General features: G+C 36.3%; 1 protein-coding gene across 1 annotated transcript in view; it reads left to right on the top strand.

Annotated features, from left to right (window-relative positions):
• ME1 (malic enzyme 1) overlaps positions 1-20786 on the top strand; it is a 220650-nt gene that overhangs the window by 75218 nt on the left and 124646 nt on the right. The window contains exons 4-5 of the mRNA NM_002395.6: positions 3695-3770; positions 9500-9661. Of these exons, the coding sequence (NP_002386.1) occupies positions 3695-3770; positions 9500-9661 (238 nt within the window). The remainder of the gene's footprint in view (positions 1-3694; positions 3771-9499; positions 9662-20786) is intronic.

The following is a 20786-nucleotide window of genomic DNA, read 5'->3' as shown; positions in this document are numbered from 1 at the left end:
AAAAATATTGATAAATACCTTTCTTATTTAAACTTTTTTATTTTATAACTGTATATATGTATATGTTGAAAATTAATGTTTTTATATCCAACTGTGTACCAGAAAGTATGAGTCATTTCTGTGCCAAAACACTTTTGGATATCTCATTCGGTTTCTAATTATGAAACATTTCAGGAAGTATTGCAAATAACTCAAATAGCCCTCCCGAAATGCTTGGTTTTGGTGGGACGTTACCGGTCCTTTATTTGTTGAACTCTCTTCAAAAGTAATAATTCTTTCTATGAATGAATCTCTACTCAGTGCAAGAGATTACAGGTGGCCAAATGACTCTTATTCTGAAGCTGAACTCAGATATAATAAACATTGGCATTTAATTGGTGTTAATTTTGGTGTAATTCATTGTCTCTCTTATTTAAAAAAATGGTGTTTCCTGAAACCAGTGTTATTTGGAAAACCTTGGCTAACTAACAAGTTCCTGAGAAATATTACTGGATACCCCAAAGCCTTGACTTGACCACTGTGCAAGCTATGCATGTAACAAAATTGCACTGGTACCCCCTAAATTTATACAAATAAAAAATAGTATATTGCCAAGAATGTCTTAGTAATTCAACAAAAGTGCCTTCTTTAAAAAGTTCAAAAATATTTTAATTTTATAATTATTTATTGAGATCCTGCTGATTTTATAGGCTCACATTGGACTATGACAGGGATCCAAAAGAAATATATACCTTATAAAGAACTTATAATCAATTTTGAGAAACAAAATACATTCATATGAAACAGCAAGAAAACCATGAAAGGATATAATGTAGTGTCAGCTTAGTAAGTTAATATTCTTGTTGAGTCAGACAGTCATCAGTAATCTTCCTATAGCACTGACGTAATTTTGGGTTACTTAATGAGTCAATATTAGGCTGGATTTATTTCATGTTTTCTGTGCTTTATAATATTTGATTATAAAAGCCTTATTTTTCAGCACTGAAGTCAGCACATATTGTTGGATACATACTACTTGCTAGCACACTTATAGGCATCAGGATTACAAATGTAAGCAAAATAGAGATTCTTTGTACTTAAGCACCTTGCTGCTTTGTGTGTACATGTACGCTGGGTGATGATGCCAGGGAAGACACAGACAGTTAACATTTGAATACATAAATAAATAATTCTAGATGTTTTTAAGTATTGTGAAGGTGATAAAAATGTTGGGGTGGAGGTGCACTGACTACTGTTATCAGAGAAGGCCTGTCTGAGGAGCCAAGATTTTAGCTGAAGATTGAATAATGAGAAAGAATTAAGTAGGTAGTTAGATTTATAGTTTGGAGCTCAAGGAGAGGTCTAGAGTGATGATAGAAGTTTGAGAGTCACTACTATGAATATGATATTTAAAACCACGAGAGGCCAAGTGCCGTAGCTCACGCCTATAATCCCAACACTTTGGGAAGCTGAGGCAGGCGGATCACTTGAGGTCAGGAGTTCAAGACCAGCCTGGCCAACGTGGTGAAACCCCATCTCATGTCTACTAAAAATACAAAAATTAGCTAGGCGTGGTGGCAGGCGCCTGTAATCCTAGCCACCTGAGAGGCTGAGGCAGGAGAATCGCTTGAACCCAGGAGGCAGGGGATGCAGTGAGCCAAGATTATGCCAATGCCCTCCAACCTGGGTGACAGAGCGAGACACTTTCAAAAATAAACAACCAACCATGAGAGTGCTTAAGTTACATCAGTGAGTGTAGCTGGAGAAGAGAGGAGTATAGAGCCCTGAAACAGTTCAACATTAAGAAGACAGAGAGGAGGAGGAGGCAGCAAAGGAACCTGAGAAGAAGCAGGTAGTGATTAGGAGGAAACGTAGGCAAATGTGGTATCTCAGCAGCTAGAAAAGAAAGTGTTTCACAAAAGGGAAAACCAACAATGTCAAACAGTCAAGAGGTCAAATGAGATGAGAGTTGAGAGCTGACCTTTGCCTGACCACTTTCTGCTCAAGGAAACAGATTAGAAAAATGGCTCATTTTAGGTCTGGGCAGAACATTTTCAAAATAGACCTGGAACATTTGATCATAACAGAGCAAGGAATCTATCCAAAACTACTATAGACATGTCAAAAGGACTCAGGGGACAGCATGAAGAGTCTTTCACTTGCTCAAGATGAGATAATATGAATATCAATAAGGAAAATAACTATAATGGATTGAAACACATCAAATATGTTTAAATCCATGAGTTCAAATTGATCAAAAAAAGAAAACCAAAAACAAAACCACACACACACACACACAACAACAACAACAACTAAGTGGAAACCTCTGAAGAAATGTAGTTAACCAGCTTTTTAATTTAAAAACTGATAAAGAGAATCAAGCATTTTTCCTTTTTCTATATCAACCGTATCCTTGGATACCCAAATAGTAGATGTGGTGAAATTTCTCTTTAAAGGGGTGTTCCAGTAAATACATAATGAATGATACAATTGGAATATCACCATTTTGTAATGCCAGATGAATTCATGAATTTAGACATTTAGCAAAATAAGCTACTAACATCACAAAAAGGAATACCAAATATGGTGTGCCTTCTGATAACATCAACCCATGAAATGTCTTGTCCAAAAAAATTGAACATAAATCTGATTATGCTTCTAGATTCAATTTTCAATTACCAATTTTCCAAGAATACAGAAGAAAGATTAACATGTTAACCTATATCATAGGGATGTAATTAGCCAAATCTATATTGAGGGAAACTCTACCAGACAAATTAAACAATAGTGCCTATGGAAGGTTTATGATTTGGTGATAAAATAATAAATTAACTATAAAGGATGTGATACCATAAAAGTGAGGATAGTGGTTACACTTAGAAGGGAAGAGTCTTTGGGAGAAAACCCGGGATGGGTTTTGGGTAGCTGGCAAGATTCTGTTTAAATGAATATTATGTAGAAATGTGGTTGTCTTATAACAATTCATTAAGCTATATGTGGTTCTCTGTATGTGAGTCACATTTAACAATACTAGAGCAAAACTTTTAAATGAGGATAAGGCATTTACATATTTTAAATTCTATTATTTTAATTTGTGAAGTTACTTGTTAAGATTTTGTAGGAAATGGGAGGGGCAAGCAGTGTTAAAGACTTTAGAGTAAATAACAGAGTTGCAAACGGCAACTAAGATCACAAATCAAAGAAATCAAGTGAGCTCCACATGAAAGAACTACTCAGCATTAGTCAGTCACTTCAGCCATCTCTAACACATGTTCTCATCTTCATGTTGAAAATGGATTAGGTGGCATATACGTTGGAAATACCTGTTTACAGATGCTTCATGTTGCTTTTCAAAGTGCTTTTATATATATTATATCATGACAGATTCTAAATGAATTTGTGAGTGGAACTGATAATGGTATCTAAATTCTCTGTACATAAAAATAGTAAATGTTTATTAATTTAAAAATATTTTAAAATATCTAAGAGAACAAATCTCCCTTTATTGTAGATGTCAATATATTATTTCAAGTAATTTCTCCCTTACTTATAAGAATTCCTGCCCCTTATTTGTTTAAGGAAATAATGTCCACCAGTTTGATAAAAATTGAGATAAATTAAATTGTTGTTTGAAAAAAAATTTAAGATATTCATGGTAGTTTGACAGGCCTGAAGTAAATGTAAACTACTCCTTTTTTTTTTTTTTTTTCTGCAGAGGTCTCTTTATTACTATCCACGATCGAGGGCATATTGCTTCAGTTCTCAATGCATGGCCAGAAGATGTCATCAAGGTAAGTTATCATGTTTTTCCACTATAGCAAATTTTTTCTTTTTTCTGTCCCATAAAACAGTTTAAAATATACTGACAATTCTCATGATAATAGGTAGCATTCATTAGCTTTTCTAGTGAATATCACCTAATTTATATCCCTTTGATTTTTACATAGTGGGTTAATTTTATTCTGATGCCATTTAGATACTAAGTTTTCCTATTATTTCTATCTAATTTCTTAGTACCTCCATTCTAAGTAATGATAAATGTTGAATATGTGATAGCATCTGAATTTCTTTAAGCAAACCCTTAAATTCTATCTGTTGTGTTTAATTATCCACTAAGAGGAATCCAAGTAGGCAAGAAAAAAAGTCTGTTAATTCATTTCTTTTATCATTATGACTTTAAGTAGTTCATTTGACTTACCTCTGTAAGTGAGCTAATGAAAATAAAAGTAATAATAGTACTTGACATTTGGTAGCATTCTGAATGAGACTTTTTACATGGATTAACTCTTATAATAATAATAATTGATTGAGGAAAGAAAGGCACAGATGGGTTACAAAGTAGCTTAAGATAGTGGTGGGAACTGCATGCAGGCCCCAGAGCTGGCCTCTGAGTCCCTGTTCTTAGACACAGGGCTATGCCATCTTCCTTGTCTAAGGGAGGTGAGAAGTGTTTGTTCTCCCTTTGGTTCCCTCTTTCTTTTCTGTTGAATGCCTAGCAACTTTGTGGTATCTTTTAGTACCAGGATGGAATAAATCAATGCCTTTTGGTGGTACAAAGGCACTTCAGCTATAACTTCTGAATGTAAGTCCGTTAATGATCTTTTTAAAATTATTTTAATTTTTTTAGAGACAAAGTCCCACTATGTTGCTCAGTCTGGTCTTGAACTCCTGACCTCACGCAGTCCTCCTGCCTGAGCTTCCCAAAGTATTGAAACAATAGGTGTGAGCTACCATGCCTTGGTGATCTTTCCTATTTGAGACATTGTGGCTATAATTGATTAATTTGGTTCTCTAGGGCTCATGCCAGGAAAACTTGTAAATTAAAATGGTTTTTATTATTTCCAGTGTCCTCAATTTTTTTTTTTTTTTTTTTTTTTTTTTTTGCTTTCTCCACCTAAGTTGCTTCCTCAGCTTTTCTGCTATCAACAGGACCATGTTATCCACAGATTCTGGTCTTAGAAACTACCCTAAGAAACATCTTAATTGTATAAAGCATAAATGTCTGATCACCTAAGGATGTTTACTTTTAATCAGGAATCTAAAGAAAATTTAAGGAATCAACAAGTTGGCCAGAAGTGGTGGCTCAGGCCTGTGATCCCAACACTTTGGGAGGCCGAGGTGGGTGGGAGGATTGCTTGAGCTCAGGAGTTTGAGACCAGCCTGGGCAACATAGTGAGACTCCATTTCTAGAAAAAATTTTAAAATTAGCTGGAATGGTGGTGCATGCCTGTAGTCCCAGCTACTTGGCATGCACCCAGCTACTTGGGAGGCTGAGGTGGGAGGATCACTTGAGCTCAGGAGTTCAATTCTGCAATGTACTATGATCACACCACTACACTCTAGCCTGGGCAACAGAGTGAGACCCTGTCTCAGAAAAAAAACAAACAAACAAGAATTAACAAGTCAATAGAGGAAATAGTTCTGCAGTAGAGAGTTCTAGCCAATATCCCTGTAATCGTCCTAACAGCTAGGCAGTAAGCTATCACACCATGTTTCTTGTTCTTCCAACTAACTGATCTCTGCATCTTTAACTTTATTCATAAGCTACTTTTATCCTTTGGACTCTTAATATTGGGCCCTTACTGATGTTCTTATCCCTAACTATGCCCTCTTTTATTTAAAAATCTTAGCATAGTGCCTGGCACATAGTAGGTACTTAGTAAACGGCAGCTATTGATTGTAAAAGAATGCTGAAGATAGGTAAGTGTATCTTATATGGTCTGTACTATATACTTGAAAGTACCCATGAAATAAAGGCAATTATTAAGCAAAATATAATCAAAATGTGTGGTATTATAGGTGCCTTATTTATTCATTCTGAGGAGAATATTATTTAGAGAAGGCTGGAATAGTTAAGAAAACTTTTCTAGCAAAGTTGAAACTTAAATCCAACCTTTGATAGTTAGAAAGGGAAGAATATACTATTCTAAGAAGGGAACAGGTGAATGTAGATATCAAGTTCGGTAAGAGAATGGGGTGTTTTTAGATAATAAGGAAATTCACTTGCCTGACTAAAGCTGAGTGTTAATATTGGAATATAGTGGAATTAAGATTGTTTAAGGGGTAATCAAATTACTGTAAAAGGTTTTGAAATTCAGAAAGAGATTTAGATTTGAAAAAATAGAATGTCATATTTAACAAGGAAATTATATAAGTAATATTTGAAGAAGGTTCACTGGAAACAGATTTTAGAATAGTTTCAAGAAAGCAGGAAAAGATGCAAAGGTTCTGCATTTAGGTAGGCTACAAGAGGATGGGCCTTGGGAAATTAAATGAAGGGATGAAGACAGGACACATGGAGAGTATCTTTGTGTGTTCAGGAGAAATCTGCGTATTTCATACAGAAGTTTCTATTCAGGTAATGCCTAGATAATAATTTGTATAGTGGGGTGAAGATTTAATTTTTGAAAAACAGACATCACTGATAGAATTGTAGTTGTCTTACTGATATTAATCCTGCAGTTGTGACTTAATTATCGTACAGAAAACATCCAACTGCTTCATTTTTCTGAAGCAGGAGATAAAGTAGGTTAAAAAAAGCAAGAGAATATTAATTTAGTGATAAACTACATAAGTGACAAAACTTTTTTTCTTTGAGAGAATTCTTTTACTGTTAAAATCTACTCTTTTATATGGAAGTATTTATGAATTAATGCTATAAATGTACGTTTGTAATAAAGCATAAATATCAAATGTCTCAAAACATATTTTAAAAACTTCTCAAACTACTACATATCTAAATGTTCATGTATATGTATATTATTAAATAATATAAATAATAGCTTTGAGAGAAGAACTTAGGGAATAAAAGTTATGAAGAAATAAGAAAGAATGCACTGTTTTTTGTTTTTTGTTTTTTTTTTTTTTTTTGAGACAGAGTTTTGCTCTTGTTGCCCAGGCTGGAATGCAGTGGTGTGATCTCTGCTCACTGCAACCTCCGCCTCCTAGGTTCAAGCAATTCTTCTGCCTCAGCCTCCCGAGTAGCTGGGAGGCTACTCGCCACCACGCCCAGGTAATTTTTGTGTTTTTAGTAGAAACGGGGTTTTGCCATGTTGGTCAGGCTGGTCTTGAACTCCTGACCTCAGGTGATCCGCCCATCTCGGCCTCCCAAAGTGTGCTGGGATTATAAGCGTGAGCTACTGCAATTGGCCCACTTTTTTTTTTTTTTAATGTTCAAGACATATATTTAGTTTAACATAGATGAGCTATCAAAAATAAGTGAAAAGTTATGCCACTTGAAATCCCTTCAGAATTTTGAAACCAAATAACAACTCTCTGTGTTTAAGCACTTTTGATGAAATCTGGAAAGCATTTTATAAATTATTATTCAGGTCATAACTAAGCTAAGCTAAATGACTAAGCTAACTAAGCTAAATGACAATATTACTCTCCTTATAAAACATATCATTAAAAATATTTGTAAGTATAGGCAGGCCAACTGGACTTTACCTATGTAAAGATCACATTCATAAAAGTATATATTATCAACGATATGTAAAAATACCTCTATTTGTGGTAATGCAGTAAATAAAACTGTCTGTTAAATACACATTAGAAGTACCAGGACTTTGAAAATTTGGCCTTAATTTAATTTAAAAAACAAAGTTATAGTTATCTGCAGTATTTATCTTTTTTACCTTAAATCAGGGCTAAGTTAACCCAGTAGTATCGGATTGCTTCCTCCAAAAGAGCATCACATATTGATCCACTGCTATTTGACATGGAAAATCTTCCAAAGACAAATGTATTGAATGTGCAAAAATGATTTTCACCTACCTCCCAAATGTATTTGCTTTTAAGACAATTTTTCAAGAGCTGAATAATATAGGTGAACAGGAAATTAAATAAAATATCTTAGAAGTATATTTTAAAATATATTCTGCAATGTGGTATGGTGAAAAGAGCACTGTACTAGGAATTAACATATGTGGGTTTCTGGTTCTTTGATATTAACCAAGTAAATCACTTTAGGCAAATTATTTCAGTTCTCTGATTTTTCAGTTAACTAATTTATAAAATAAGAGGAATAGATGGAATATACTTTAGATTTCTCTTTACATCTAAAATGCTATAACTTTATAATTAGCTCCAGTGAAATAATAGTAATAATAGCTATAAATTTTTAAGAATTTGTAATGTACCAGGTACTGTGGTAAGTTCTTTATATATCATGATTTCATTTTATGTAATCATAGTTTTATTCAATTTACTAATATTTATTGATTGTTTACTGTGTGCCAAATGCTATACTAGGTGCTGATGTACAGTGGTAAGCAAAAAGACCTGGTTCCCAATTTTATACAGCTACTCTGAAAAGTACCTTTATTACTCCCAATTTACCAATAAGAAACAGAAGCTTAAATTCACCCAAGGCCAAATAACTGACATATTCCCACGTTTCTCTGAATATGATGAGTGTAGCAGTTTGTAGACTATCTAATAAATTGTGTTTCATAAGATTGGTTTTGTTTAAATTCATATAACTGACATGAATCACAAAGATGTTCAATAATGATATCAAATTACATAGAATTAAAATCTCCACATGATTAAAGTATATGCTTCATAAATATTCAAGTTAATTAGAAATAAACTAAACAGGCTGGGCACGGTGGTGGCTCATGCCTGTAATCCCAGCACTTTGGAAGGCTGAGACGGGTGGATCACGAGGTCAGGAGTTTGATACCAGCCTGGCTAACATGGTGAAACCCTGTCTCTACTAAAAATACAAAAATTAGCCGGGCGTGGTGGCGGGCGCCTGTAATCCCAGCTACTTGGGAGGCTGAGACAGGAGAATTGCCTGAACCCGGTAGGCAGAGGTTGCAGTGAGCTGAGATTGTGCCACTGCACTCCAGCCTGGGTGACAGAGCAAGACTCCGTCTCGGAAAAAAGGGAAAAAAAAGAAAGATAAAAGAAGGAAGGAAGGAAGGAAGGAGAAAGACAAAATTCATTAAGTCTAGTGGAAAATTTTCAGGTAAGAAGTAGCAGACTGTACTGGACATGTTTCAAAGATATCAAGTGATTATAGGAGTTAAGGAGAATGGGTCAGATTGTTGTAAAAATAGGAGGATAGGGCCAGGATGCATAAACTGAAGATCAGAGCATTTAGGGCAGAGATATAACCTCCTCAATCTCTTCAGTAACTATGCAGTACTTTACTAAGGACACTCTTGCTCAAAACCACCCTGTGTTTCTTTTGGTTCCCAGTCTGAGCTCTTATTTCCCTATACTTTACCCACTTGCTCTTCTTGATTGAAAAGTTATTTGGTATGTTTGAATCTTTATGTGCACACTTGCCCTTCTTTTTAAAATAACCTAATTAAGCATATTTATAAATCAAGTTCATTTCTTCACCCTATTCTTCCACAATTACAATTTATAAAATCTTTTTCATAAATATTCAATTTATGTTTTTTAACAGCTTACTATTTCACTAGTAGTAACTTCAGAAATAGAGTCAGAAATTGTGTCTCAGGATTTGTGAAAACTTGTTAATAGGTAATTTTTCTTTTTCTTCCAGGCCATTGTGGTGACTGATGGAGAGCGTATTCTTGGCTTGGGAGACCTTGGCTGTAATGGAATGGGCATCCCTGTGGGTAAATTGGCTCTATATACAGCTTGCGGAGGGATGAATCCTCAAGAATGTCTGCCTGTCATTCTGGATGTGGGAACCGAAAATGAGGTAAATAATTTACGTCTATAAGGCAGCTATGTACCTTTAAAAATGGCATCAATTCTTGCATTTTGAACTTATTCCAGGAACTCATAAAATTCATTCTTTTTTGTCTGGTTCTCTTTCTCTCTCCAAATCTGCCCTTTACTGTTGTAAGAAAATTACTTCTCCTGTTCTCCTTTTCCCATCTTAATAACGTGATTAATCTTTTATTTGCTTCCCTAGTGCCTTATGTTGCTTTGATATGTATTTACACCATTATTCTATAGAATATATGTTTTACTTTAAGGCAATAGTTTTAAAAATTATTTTTTTATTATATAGGAACTAATACCATGGGATTTATTAAATTTAATCAGTCTGAAATATTCTTGTTTTAAAAACCATATTGAACCTAAAATAGATCATTTGGAGTTTAACTTTTCTCAATCATGACTTTATATTTTAGAATCTTAAAGTCAGATGTTAAGTACTACTTTTTTTTTGCTCATCCTTTACTGCTAATATTTAGGATTAACTAGCTAACTAGATACTAGAAGTTAAACATAGAATTCTCTGAAATAGAAATGAAAGATAATAGTCAGTTAAGGATGAACTTTTAAAAAGTTATTTACAAATTTCAGACCTAGGTCCCAAACAGATATATCATCAAATAAGACCTTGACACAAATACATACATGCATTATGTTTGTTTTCTTTGTCTCCTTCTAAAACAATTGAAGATATAACTTTTGATCTGTAAGTAATGTGAAATATATTTTTGCATGAGCAAAAATACAGATAGTGACTTAAACAGTTATGTTTTTAACCTACACATAGAAAGTTACAATGTTTAACTTGATCTATGCATGAATGCTCACTTAACCTTTATCAAAGGATACATTTTAATAAAAATACATTGCTTATCTGGCATTTTCTAATACCAATAGAAGTGGCTTAGAAATTATCAAAGCTGGCCTCTTTAAACAATTGTCCTAAAATTGTGTGTATACATTGAACATTAACATTTCCTCTTTAAGCCAGGAGAGGTGGTGTGTACCTACAGTCCTAGCTACTCAGGAGGCTAGAAGGTAGGAGGATTGGTTGAACTCAGGAGATTCAGGATGCAGTGAGCCATGATCGCGCAATTGGACTACAACCTGGGCTACAGAGTGAGACCCTGCTCTAAAAAATTTAAATTAAAATAAAATAAATATATTTCTTCTTTATTTTAAAAATATATTTTAAAAATTGTTATGTGATAAGTTGCATTGAAATAAAATAGTTTATTTATTATTATTTTATTTTATTTTATTTTTTTTTGAGACGGAGTCTTGCTGTCACCCAGGCTGGAGTACAGTGGCTGATCTCCGCTCACTGCAACCTCCGCCTCCCGGGTTCAAGCGATTCTCCTGCCTCAGCCTCCCAAGTAGCTGGGACTACAGGCACATGCCACCATGTTCGGTGAATTTTTTGTATTTTTAGTAAAGAGGGTGTTTCACCGTGTTAGCCAGGATGGTCTCGATCTCCTGACCTTGTGATCTGTCCACCTCGCCCTCCCAAAGTGCTGGGATTACCGGCGTGAGCCACCGTACCCGGCCTATTTTTTTATTTTCTTTAAGACAGGGTCTCACTGTTGTTGCCCAGGCTAGAGTGCACTGTCATGATCATGGCTCACTGCAGCTTCAATCTCCCATACTCATGTGATTCTCCCACCTCAGCCTCCCAAGTAGCTGGGACTACAGTTACATGCCACCACAGCCAGCTACTTTTTTGTTTACATTGAAATCAAATTTTAAAAATCACAAAAATATGTAATATATCTTAAAAATCCTGTGGAGAAATGAGGAGGAATATATAACAACAAAACAGACATGCAAAAATGTTAGAATTTGGCTTTTTTTTTTTTTTTTGTAAGAGATAGGATGTTGCACTGCCACCCAGGCTGTAGTGCAGTGGCACTATCATAGCTTATTGCAGCCTTAAACTCCTGAGCCCAAGTGGTCCTCCTGCCTCAGCCTTTCGAGTAGCTGGGATTCCAGGTGTGCACCACCACACCAATCTAATTTTTTTTAACCTTTTTTTTTTTTTTTAGACGGGGTCTTGCTATGTATGTTGCTCAGGCTGGTTTTGAACTCCTGGTATCAAACAATCCTCCTGCTTCACTGGGATAACAGTGAAGTTTTAAACAGTTTTAAACCTTGGCCATTTATTGAGATTGTTTGTATAATGTGGACATTAAAAAAAAGCTGTGCACTAGTGAAACTGTAACACTAGGACACTTGCATTGATAGATATGTATTATATGAAAGAATTGATTTCATGAGAGAGATTGTATTATATGAAAGAGTTGATTTCATGAAAGTAGGTCTTAAAATAGCCAAATTGATGGTTGTCTTGAATTTTCCACATTATCTCTGTTTAGTGTATGTTTCTTTCCTGTTTTGGTATTCATTGCTTTTATGTTATTACATTTCTATCCAGTATCTTACTTCCTCAGCCTGCAGAACGCATCCACCTATCCTTCACGAAATTTCTTACTTTAACCAGCTGTAGATCTAGCTTTTTCTCTCTCTTTTTATTAAGACATGTCTGGTTCATACTACATTTCAAAATTTTTAAGCTGATAATTAGAAAATAATCTGATTATCTAAATGAATCTACTGTTAAAATGCTGTGTATTATTTGTAGAGATTTTGCTTACTGCCATTCGACTTTCAGGAATATTAAGGGCAGAAAATTAAGTGAATGGTGAACCTTTAACTCTTTGACAGGTCACCGGAGAATACCTTTGTCACTTTGAGAGTGACAGAGGTCTTTGAGAGACCTTTCTGAAACTCCTCAAATTGCATTTGGTAGATTTAATTGAATTAGACCAACATTGAGTACCTACTCATTATGTTAAGTGAAATAAACCAGGCACAGAAAGACAAATATCCCATGTTCTCACACCCGGGCTAAAAAAGTTGATCTCATGGAGGTAGAGAGTAGAATGATAGTTGCCAAAGGCTGGGAAGGGTGTGTGTATGTCAGGATAGAGGGTGGGAGGATGAAGAGAGGTTGGTTAAGGGGTACAAATATGTCAATTGAAGGAATAAGTTCTAATGTTTGATAGCAGAGTAGGGTGACTACAGTTACCAACACTGTATTGTATATTTCAAAATAGCTAGAAGAGAAGACTTGAAATGCTACCAACACATAGAAATGATAACGCAAGGTGGCCGGGGGTGGTGGCTCCTATCTGTAATCCCAGAACTTTGGGAGGCCAAGGCGGGCAGATCACCTGAGGTTGAGAGTTTGAGACCAGCCTGAGCAACATAGAGAAAACCCGTATACTAAAAATACAAAATTAGTTGGGCATGGTGGCACATGCCTGTAATCCCAGCTACTTGGGAGGCTGAGGCAGGAGAATCGCTTGAACCCAGGGATGGAGGTTGCAGTGAGCTGAGATCACAACATTGCACTCCAGCCTGGGCAACAACAGCAAAACTATGTCTCAAAAAAAAAGAAAAGAAATAATACTCAAGATGATGGACTCCCTAAATACCCTGACTGGATCATTACACGTTCCATGCATGTAACCAAGTATCACGTGTACCCTATAAAAATATACAAATTTATGTATCAATAAACAAATTTTTAAAAAGTATTGAATATCTGCTATCTATCAAAGCCTAAGCAAAGCCTAGGTAATATCGGTGTAAGAAACTAGATTTTGCCAGCAGGATGCTCTGAATCTAGAAGAGGAGATACACATGTAACTAGTTGCAGTATGTATTAATTGCTTTCTTTGGTAAAGGCTTTTGAAGGCATTTAGCAAACCAATTCTCTGACAGTTATTATATACTCTTGTTACTGGTGAACAAAGAATTGGACAAAACACACAACGCAAGGAAAGAATAAAGCAAGAAAAGAAGAGATTTAATGAAAATGAAAGCATACTCCACAGGGTGGGAGCAGGCCTGAGCAGCCGCTCAAGGACCTGGATACAGAATCTTCTAAGGTCCAAATACCCGCTAGAGGTTTCCCATTGGCCAATTAGTGTTCACCCCATTTAAATGAAGTGGTGGCCTGCAATCAGTCTGATTGGTTGCAGAAAGCAACCAATCAGAGGCTGAAGTGAAGTTACAAAGGTCACACTCCTAGCAAACATCTGATTGGTTGTGGAAAGCAACCAATCTGAGGCTAAAGTGGAGTTACAAAGCTGCCCTTCTGTGCAAATGAAGACTTGGCCCACAGTCAGTGTGATTGGTTGGGGACAGCAACCAATCAGAGGCTGATGTGAAGTTACAAAGTTACACTCCTATGCAAACGTCTGATTGGTTGCAAAAACCAACCAGTCAGAGGTACTTTCAATTTCTCATCTGCCAGCAGAAAAGGTAGGGGTTTGCAAAGGGAGTAGCCTCTGGTCATTTTGTTACTTAGGCGTAGAAAGTTAGGGTTTTCCTTTCAATTTTGTTCCAGGAAGTCAGTGCAAAACGGCCTTAGATTCCCCGCCTCCAGACCCTATTCTCCTGCCTCATTCTTAGTCTTAAACTCTGTATTACTGTTATCTTCTTATATCTTGTCTTTTTAAATAAATCATATTTTGGGAATTTAATTGTAAAAATGTATACTAGTAAATGATCAACTAGAGTTCTTGTTCTAAAAGGAGAGTAAATTATTTGTTCCCTTTATAAAAGGTAGTTTAGCTGTACCCAGAGTTAAACTACAGAGTTTACAGGTATACGTACTCTTCAAGACTGCCCTCATTTCTGACATCAACTGCAAGTTGAAGAGCTTCCCGAAACCAACTTCAGGCTTGATAATTTGCTAAGACTCAAAAAACTCACTGAAAGCTATTGTACTCACAGTTACAGTGTATTATGGGCTAAAGATACACATTAAAATCTCACAAAAGAAGAGATGCATAGGGAAGAGTCTAGAAGAGTCCCAAATGTGAAGTGTCCATTTTCCTATAAAATCAGGACATGTTACCCTTCCAGTATGGATATGAAATATCAACATGTGTCCCACTGTTCAGAGTTTTATTGGGGCTCCATTACCTAGTCATGATTGATTGATTGATTGATTGCCCAGGTGGTTGAACTCAGTCTCCAGGTTGACCGATACTGTATGACGCAGATGCCCTACCCCAGATCACATGGTTAGTCTTTCTGGCATGGCCAGCGTTCACCCGGTGACTCTCAGTTATGGTCGCTAAGCTACTAGATAAAAGGATTAGGCCCTTATTCAAACTGGTTGAATGCTTGTCAACTGTCACCAGAGTCCATCCACAGAATAAATAGAAATATAAGAGGCAAACAGACAAAAAGGAAAATAGATGTAAATTTTATTGTTAATTAAGCAGAATTAAGTTTTAAGCTCAGATAAGATTAAGGATTTGATCATCAACCTTTTAAGGAAATATAGTTCCTATGCTATATAAACTGTCCCAGAGCATACTAAAATTGACAGCTTAACATTTCAGTTTTTAAAAAGAGCATAACCTTGATATCCAAACTTGGTAAAAAAAAAAAAATAGCACATAACAAGAAATTGCTAATTAGTCTCATATTTACCCATGCTCCCAGTTTCACCACTTACTAGTGGTGTTTCTGTGTTTTGCTCATGTAAAATGAGTACTTACCTCATAGAGGTGTCATGGTTTAATACATTTAGAATGCTTAAAATTGTGACTGGCATTTTGAAAGCACTTGGTAAATGTTACCTCACGTGAACATAGATGTAGAAGCAAAAGTTCTTTATAAAATACTGGCAAGTAAAATCTTGCAGAATATTTTAATGTTGAAATAATGTTTGAAATCTATTCAAACCATTAGCTGCATCATAATTAATGGTGATATATTAGAGGCATTATTTTAAAAGACAGGACACCCGTTATCACTGCTGTTTTCTTTTTTATTATTCAGAAAATTCTAGCCTGTGTAATAAGACAATAAAACAAAGGAGATATAACTGACAGGAAAAGACAAAATTATCATTATTTATAGGTAATATGTTTATCTATTACTGAAACTCAAGAAAACCAACTAAAAAATACTGTGGTCAAATTATAGCACTCAGTAAAGTGGCTGCCTATAAAACAAATATTCAAAACTTAATAGCTTTTCTATGTACTTGTAATAACCAGTTAAAAATTAACTCATTCACAGTAGCAACAATATTCTATTCTGCTATTCTTCTAATGTTATATAGTATTTCACATTTCTTTTCTTTTCTTTTTTTTTTTATTATACTCTAAGTTTTAGGGTACATGTGCACATTGTGCAGGTTAGTTACATATGTATACATGTGCCATGCTGGTGCGCTGCACCCACTAACGTGTCATCTAGCATTAGGTATATCTCCCAATGCTATCCCTCCCCCCTCCCCCGACCCCACCACAGTCCCCAGAGTGTGATATTCCCCTTCCTGTGTCCATGTGATCTCATTGTTCAATTCCCACCTATGAGTGAGAATATGCGGTGTTTGGTTTTTTGTTCTTGCGATAGTTTACTGAGAATGATGGTTTCCAATTTCATCCATGTCCCTACAAAGGACATGAACTCATCATTTTTTATGGCTGCATAGTATTCCATGGTGTATATGTGCCACATTTTCTTAATCCAGTCTATCATTGTTGGACATTTGGGTTGGTTCCAAGTCTTTGCTATTGTGAATAGTGCCGCAATAAACATACGTGTGTATGTGTCTTTATAGCAGCATGATTTATAGTCCTTTGGGTATATACCCAGTAATGGGATGGCTGGGTCAAATGGTATTTCTAGTTCTAGATCCCTGAGGAATCGCCACACTGACTTCCACAATGGTTGAACTAGTTTACAGTCCCACCAACAGTGTAAAAGTGTTCCTATTTCTCCACATCCTCTCCAGCACCTGTTGTTTCCTGACTTTTTAATGATTGCCATTCTAACTGGTGTGAGATGATATCTCATAGTGGTTTTGATTTGCATTTCTCTGATGGCCAGTGATGATGAGCATTTCTTCATGTGTTTTTTGGCTGCATAAATGTCTTCTTTTGAGAAGTGTCTGTTCATGTCCTTCGCCCACTTTTTGATGGGGTTGTTTGTTTTTTTCTTGTAAATTTGTTTGAGTTCATTGTAGATTCTGGATATTAGCCCTTTGTCAGATGAGTAGGCTGCGAAAATTTTCTCCCATGTTGTAGGTTGCCTGTTCACTCTGATGGTAGTTTCTTTTGCTGTGCAGAAGCTCTTTAGTTTAATTAGATCCCATTTGTCAATTTTGGCTTTTGTTGCCATTGCTTTTGGTGTTTTGGACATGAAGTCCTTGCCCACGCCTATGTCCTGAATGGTAATGCCTAGGTTTTCTTCTAGGCTTTTTATGGTTTTAGGTCTAACGTTTAAATCTTTAATCCATCTTGAATTGATTTTTGTATAAGGTGTAAGGAAGGGATCCAGTTTCAGCTTTCTACATATGGCTAGCCAGTTTTCCCAGCACCATTTATTAAATAGGGAATCCTTTCCCCATTGCTTGTTTTTCTCAGGTTTGTCAAAGATCAGATAGTTGTAGATATGCGGCATTATTTCTGAGGGCTCTGTTCTGTTCCATTGATCTATATCTCTGTTTTGGTACCAGTACCATGCTGTTTTGGTTACTGTAGCCTTGTAGTATAGTTTGAAGTCAGGTAGTGTGATGCCTCCAGCTTTGTTCTTTTGGCTTAGGATTGACTTGGCGATGCGGGCTCTTTTTTGGTTCCATATGAACTTTAAAGTAGTTTTTTCCAATTCTGTGAAGAAAGTCATTGGTAGCTTGATGGGGATGGCATTGAATCTGTAAATTACCTTTGGCAGTATGGCCATTTTCACGATATTGATTCTTCCTACCCATGAGCATGGAATGTTCTTCCATTTGTTTGTGTCCTCTTTTATTTCCTTGAGCAGTGGTTTGTAGTTCTCCTTGAAGAGGTCCTTCACATCCCTTGTAAGTTGGATTCCTAGGTATTTTATTCTCTTTGAAGCAATTGTGAATGGGAGTTCACTCATGATTTGGCTCTCTGTTTGTCTGTTGTTGGTGTATAAGAATGCTTGTGATTTTTGTACATTGATTTTGTATCCTGAGACTTTGCTGAAGTTGCTTATCAGCTTAAGGAGATTTTGGGCTGAGACGATGGGGTTTTCTAGATAAACAATCATGTCATCTGCAAACAGGGACAATTTGACTTCCTCTTTTCCTAATTGAATACCCTTTATCTCCTTCTCCTGCCTGATTGCCCTGGCCAGAACTTCCAACACTATGTTGAATAGGAGTGGTGAGAGAGGGCATCCCTGTCTTGTGCCAGTTTTCAAAGGGAATGCTTCCAGTTTTTGCCCATTCAGTATGATATTGGCTGTGGGTTTGTCATAGATAGCTCTTATTATTTTGAGATACGTCCCATCAATACCTAATTTATTGAGAGTTTTTAGCATGAAGGGTTGTTGAATTTTGTCAAAGGCTTTTTCTGCATCTATTGAGATAATCATGTGGTTTTTGTCTTTGGCTCTGTTTATATGCTGGATTACATTTATTGATTTGCGTATATTGAACCAGCCTTGCATCCCAGGGATGAAGCCCACTTGATCATGGTGGATAAGCTTTTTGATGTGCTGCTGGATTCGGTTTGCCAGTATTTTATTGAGGATTTTTGCATCAATGTTCATCAAGGATATTGGTCTAAAATTCTCTTTTTTGGTTGTGTCTCTGCCCGGCTTTGGTATCAGAATGATGCTGGCCTCATAAAATGAGTTAGGGAGGATTCCCTCTTTTTCTATTGATTGGAATAGTTTCAGAAGGAATGGTACCAGTTCCTCCTTGTACCTCTGGTAGAATTCGGCTGTGAATCCATCTGGTCCTGGACTCTTTTTGGTTGGTAAACTATTGATTATTGCCACAATTTCAGAGCCTGTTATTGGTCTATTCAGAGATTCAACTTCTTCCTGGTTTAGTCTTGGGAGAGTGTATGTGTCGAGGAATGTATCCATTTCTTCTAGATTTTCTAGTTTATTTGCGTAGAGGTGTTTGTAGTATTCTCTGATGGTAGTTTGTATTTCTGTGGGATCGGTGGTGATATCCCCTTTATCATTTTTTATTGTGTCTATTTGATTCTTCTCTCTTTTTTTCTTTATTAGTCTTGCTAGTGGTCTATCAATTTTGTTGATCCTTTCAAAAAACCAGCTCCTGGATTCATTGATTTTTTGAAGGGTTTTTTGTGTCTCTATTTCCTTCAGTTCTGCTCTGATTTTAGTTATTTCTTGCCTTCTGCTAGCTTTTGAATGTGTTTGCTCTTGCTTTTCTAGTTCTTTTAATTGTGATGTTAGGGTGTCAATTTTGGATCCTTCCTGCTTTCTCTTGTAGGCATTTAGTGCTATAAATTTCCCTCTACACACTGCTTTGAATGCGTCCCAGAGATTCTGGTATGTGGTGTCTTTGTTCTCGTTGGTTTCAAAGAACATCTTTATTTCTGCCTTCATTTCGTTATGTACCCAGTAGTCATTCAGGAGCAGGTTGTTCAGTTTCCATGTAGTTGAGCGGCTTTGAGTGAGATTCTTAATCCTGAGTTCTAGTTTGATTGCACTGTGGTCTGAGAGATAGTTTGTAATAATTTCTGTTCTTTTACATTTGCTGAGGAGAGCTTTACTTCCAACTATGTGGTCAATTTTGGAATAGGTGTGGTGTGGTGCTGAAAAAAATGTATATTCTGTTGATTTGGGGTGGAGAGTTCTGTAGATGTCTATTAGGTCTGCTTGGTGCAGAGCTGAGTTCAATTCCTGGGTATCCTTGTTGACTTTCTGTCTCGTTGATCTGTCTAATGTTGACAGTGGGGTGTTAAAGTCTCCCATTATTAATGTGTGGGAGTCTAAGTCTCTTTGTAGGTCACTCAGGACTTGCTTTATGAATCTGGGTGCTCCTGTATTGGGTGCATAAATATTTAGGATAGTTAGCTCCTCTTGTTGAATTGATCCCTTTACCATTATGTAATGGCCTTCTTTGTCTCTTTTGATCCTTGTTGGTTTAAAGTCTGTTTTATCAGAGACTAGGATTGCAACCCCTGCCTTTTTTTGTTTTCCATTGGCTTGGTAGATCTTCCTCCATCCTTTTATTTTGAGCCTATGTGTGTCTCTGCACGTGAGATGGGTTTCCTGAATACAGCACACTGATGGGTCTTGACTCTTTATCCAACTTGCCAGTCTGTGTCTTTTAATTGCAGAATTTAGTCCATTTATATTTAAAGTTAATATTGTTATGTGTGAATTTGATCCTGTCATTATGATGTTAGCTGGTGATTTTGCTCATTAGTTGATGCAGTTTCTTCCTAGTCTCGATGGTCTTTACATTTTGGCATGATTTTGCAGCGGCTGGTACCGGTTGTTCCTTTCCATGTTTAGCGCTTCCTTCAGGAGCTCTTTTAGGGCAGGCCTGGTGGTGACAAAATCTCTCAGCATTTGCTTGTCTATAAAGTATTTTATTTCTCCTTCACTTATGAAGCTTAGTTTGGCTGGATATGAAATTCTGGTTTGAAAATTCTTTTCTTTAAGAATGTTGAATATTGGCCCCCACTCTCTTCTGGCTTGTAGGGTTTCTGCCGAGAGATCCGCTGTTAGTCTGATGGGCTTTCCTTTGAGGGTAACCCGACCTTTCTCTCTGGCTGCCCTTAACATTTTTTCCTTCATTTCAACTTTGGTGAATCTGACAATTATGTGTCTTGGAGTTGCTCTTCTCGAGGAGTATCTTTATGGCGTTCTCTGTATTTCCTGAATCTGAACGTTGGCCTGCCTTGCTAGATTGGGGAAGTTCTCCTGGATAATATCCTGCAGAGTGTTTTCCAACTTGGTTCCATTCTCCACATCACTTTCAGGTACACCAATCAGACGTAGATTTGGTCTTTTCACATAGTCCCATATTTCTTGGAGGCTTTGCTCATTTCTTTTTATTCTTTTTTCTCTAAACTTCCCTTCTCGCTTCATTTCATTCATTTCATCTTCCATTGCTGATACCCTTTATTCCAGTTGATCGCATCAGCTCCTGAGGCTTCTGCATTCTTCACGTAGTTCTCGAGCCTTGGTTTTCAGCTCCATCAGCTCCTTTAAGCACTTCTCTGTATTGGTTATTCTAGTTATACATTCTTCTAAATTTTTTTCAAAGTTTTCAACTTCTT

Source organism: Homo sapiens, chromosome 6 (genome assembly GCF_000001405.40).
Source record: "Homo sapiens chromosome 6, GRCh38.p14 Primary Assembly".
In the NCBI taxonomy this organism is placed as follows: domain Eukaryota; kingdom Metazoa; phylum Chordata; class Mammalia; order Primates; family Hominidae; genus Homo; species Homo sapiens.
This window is presented reverse-complemented; position numbering and strand designations above follow the sequence as displayed.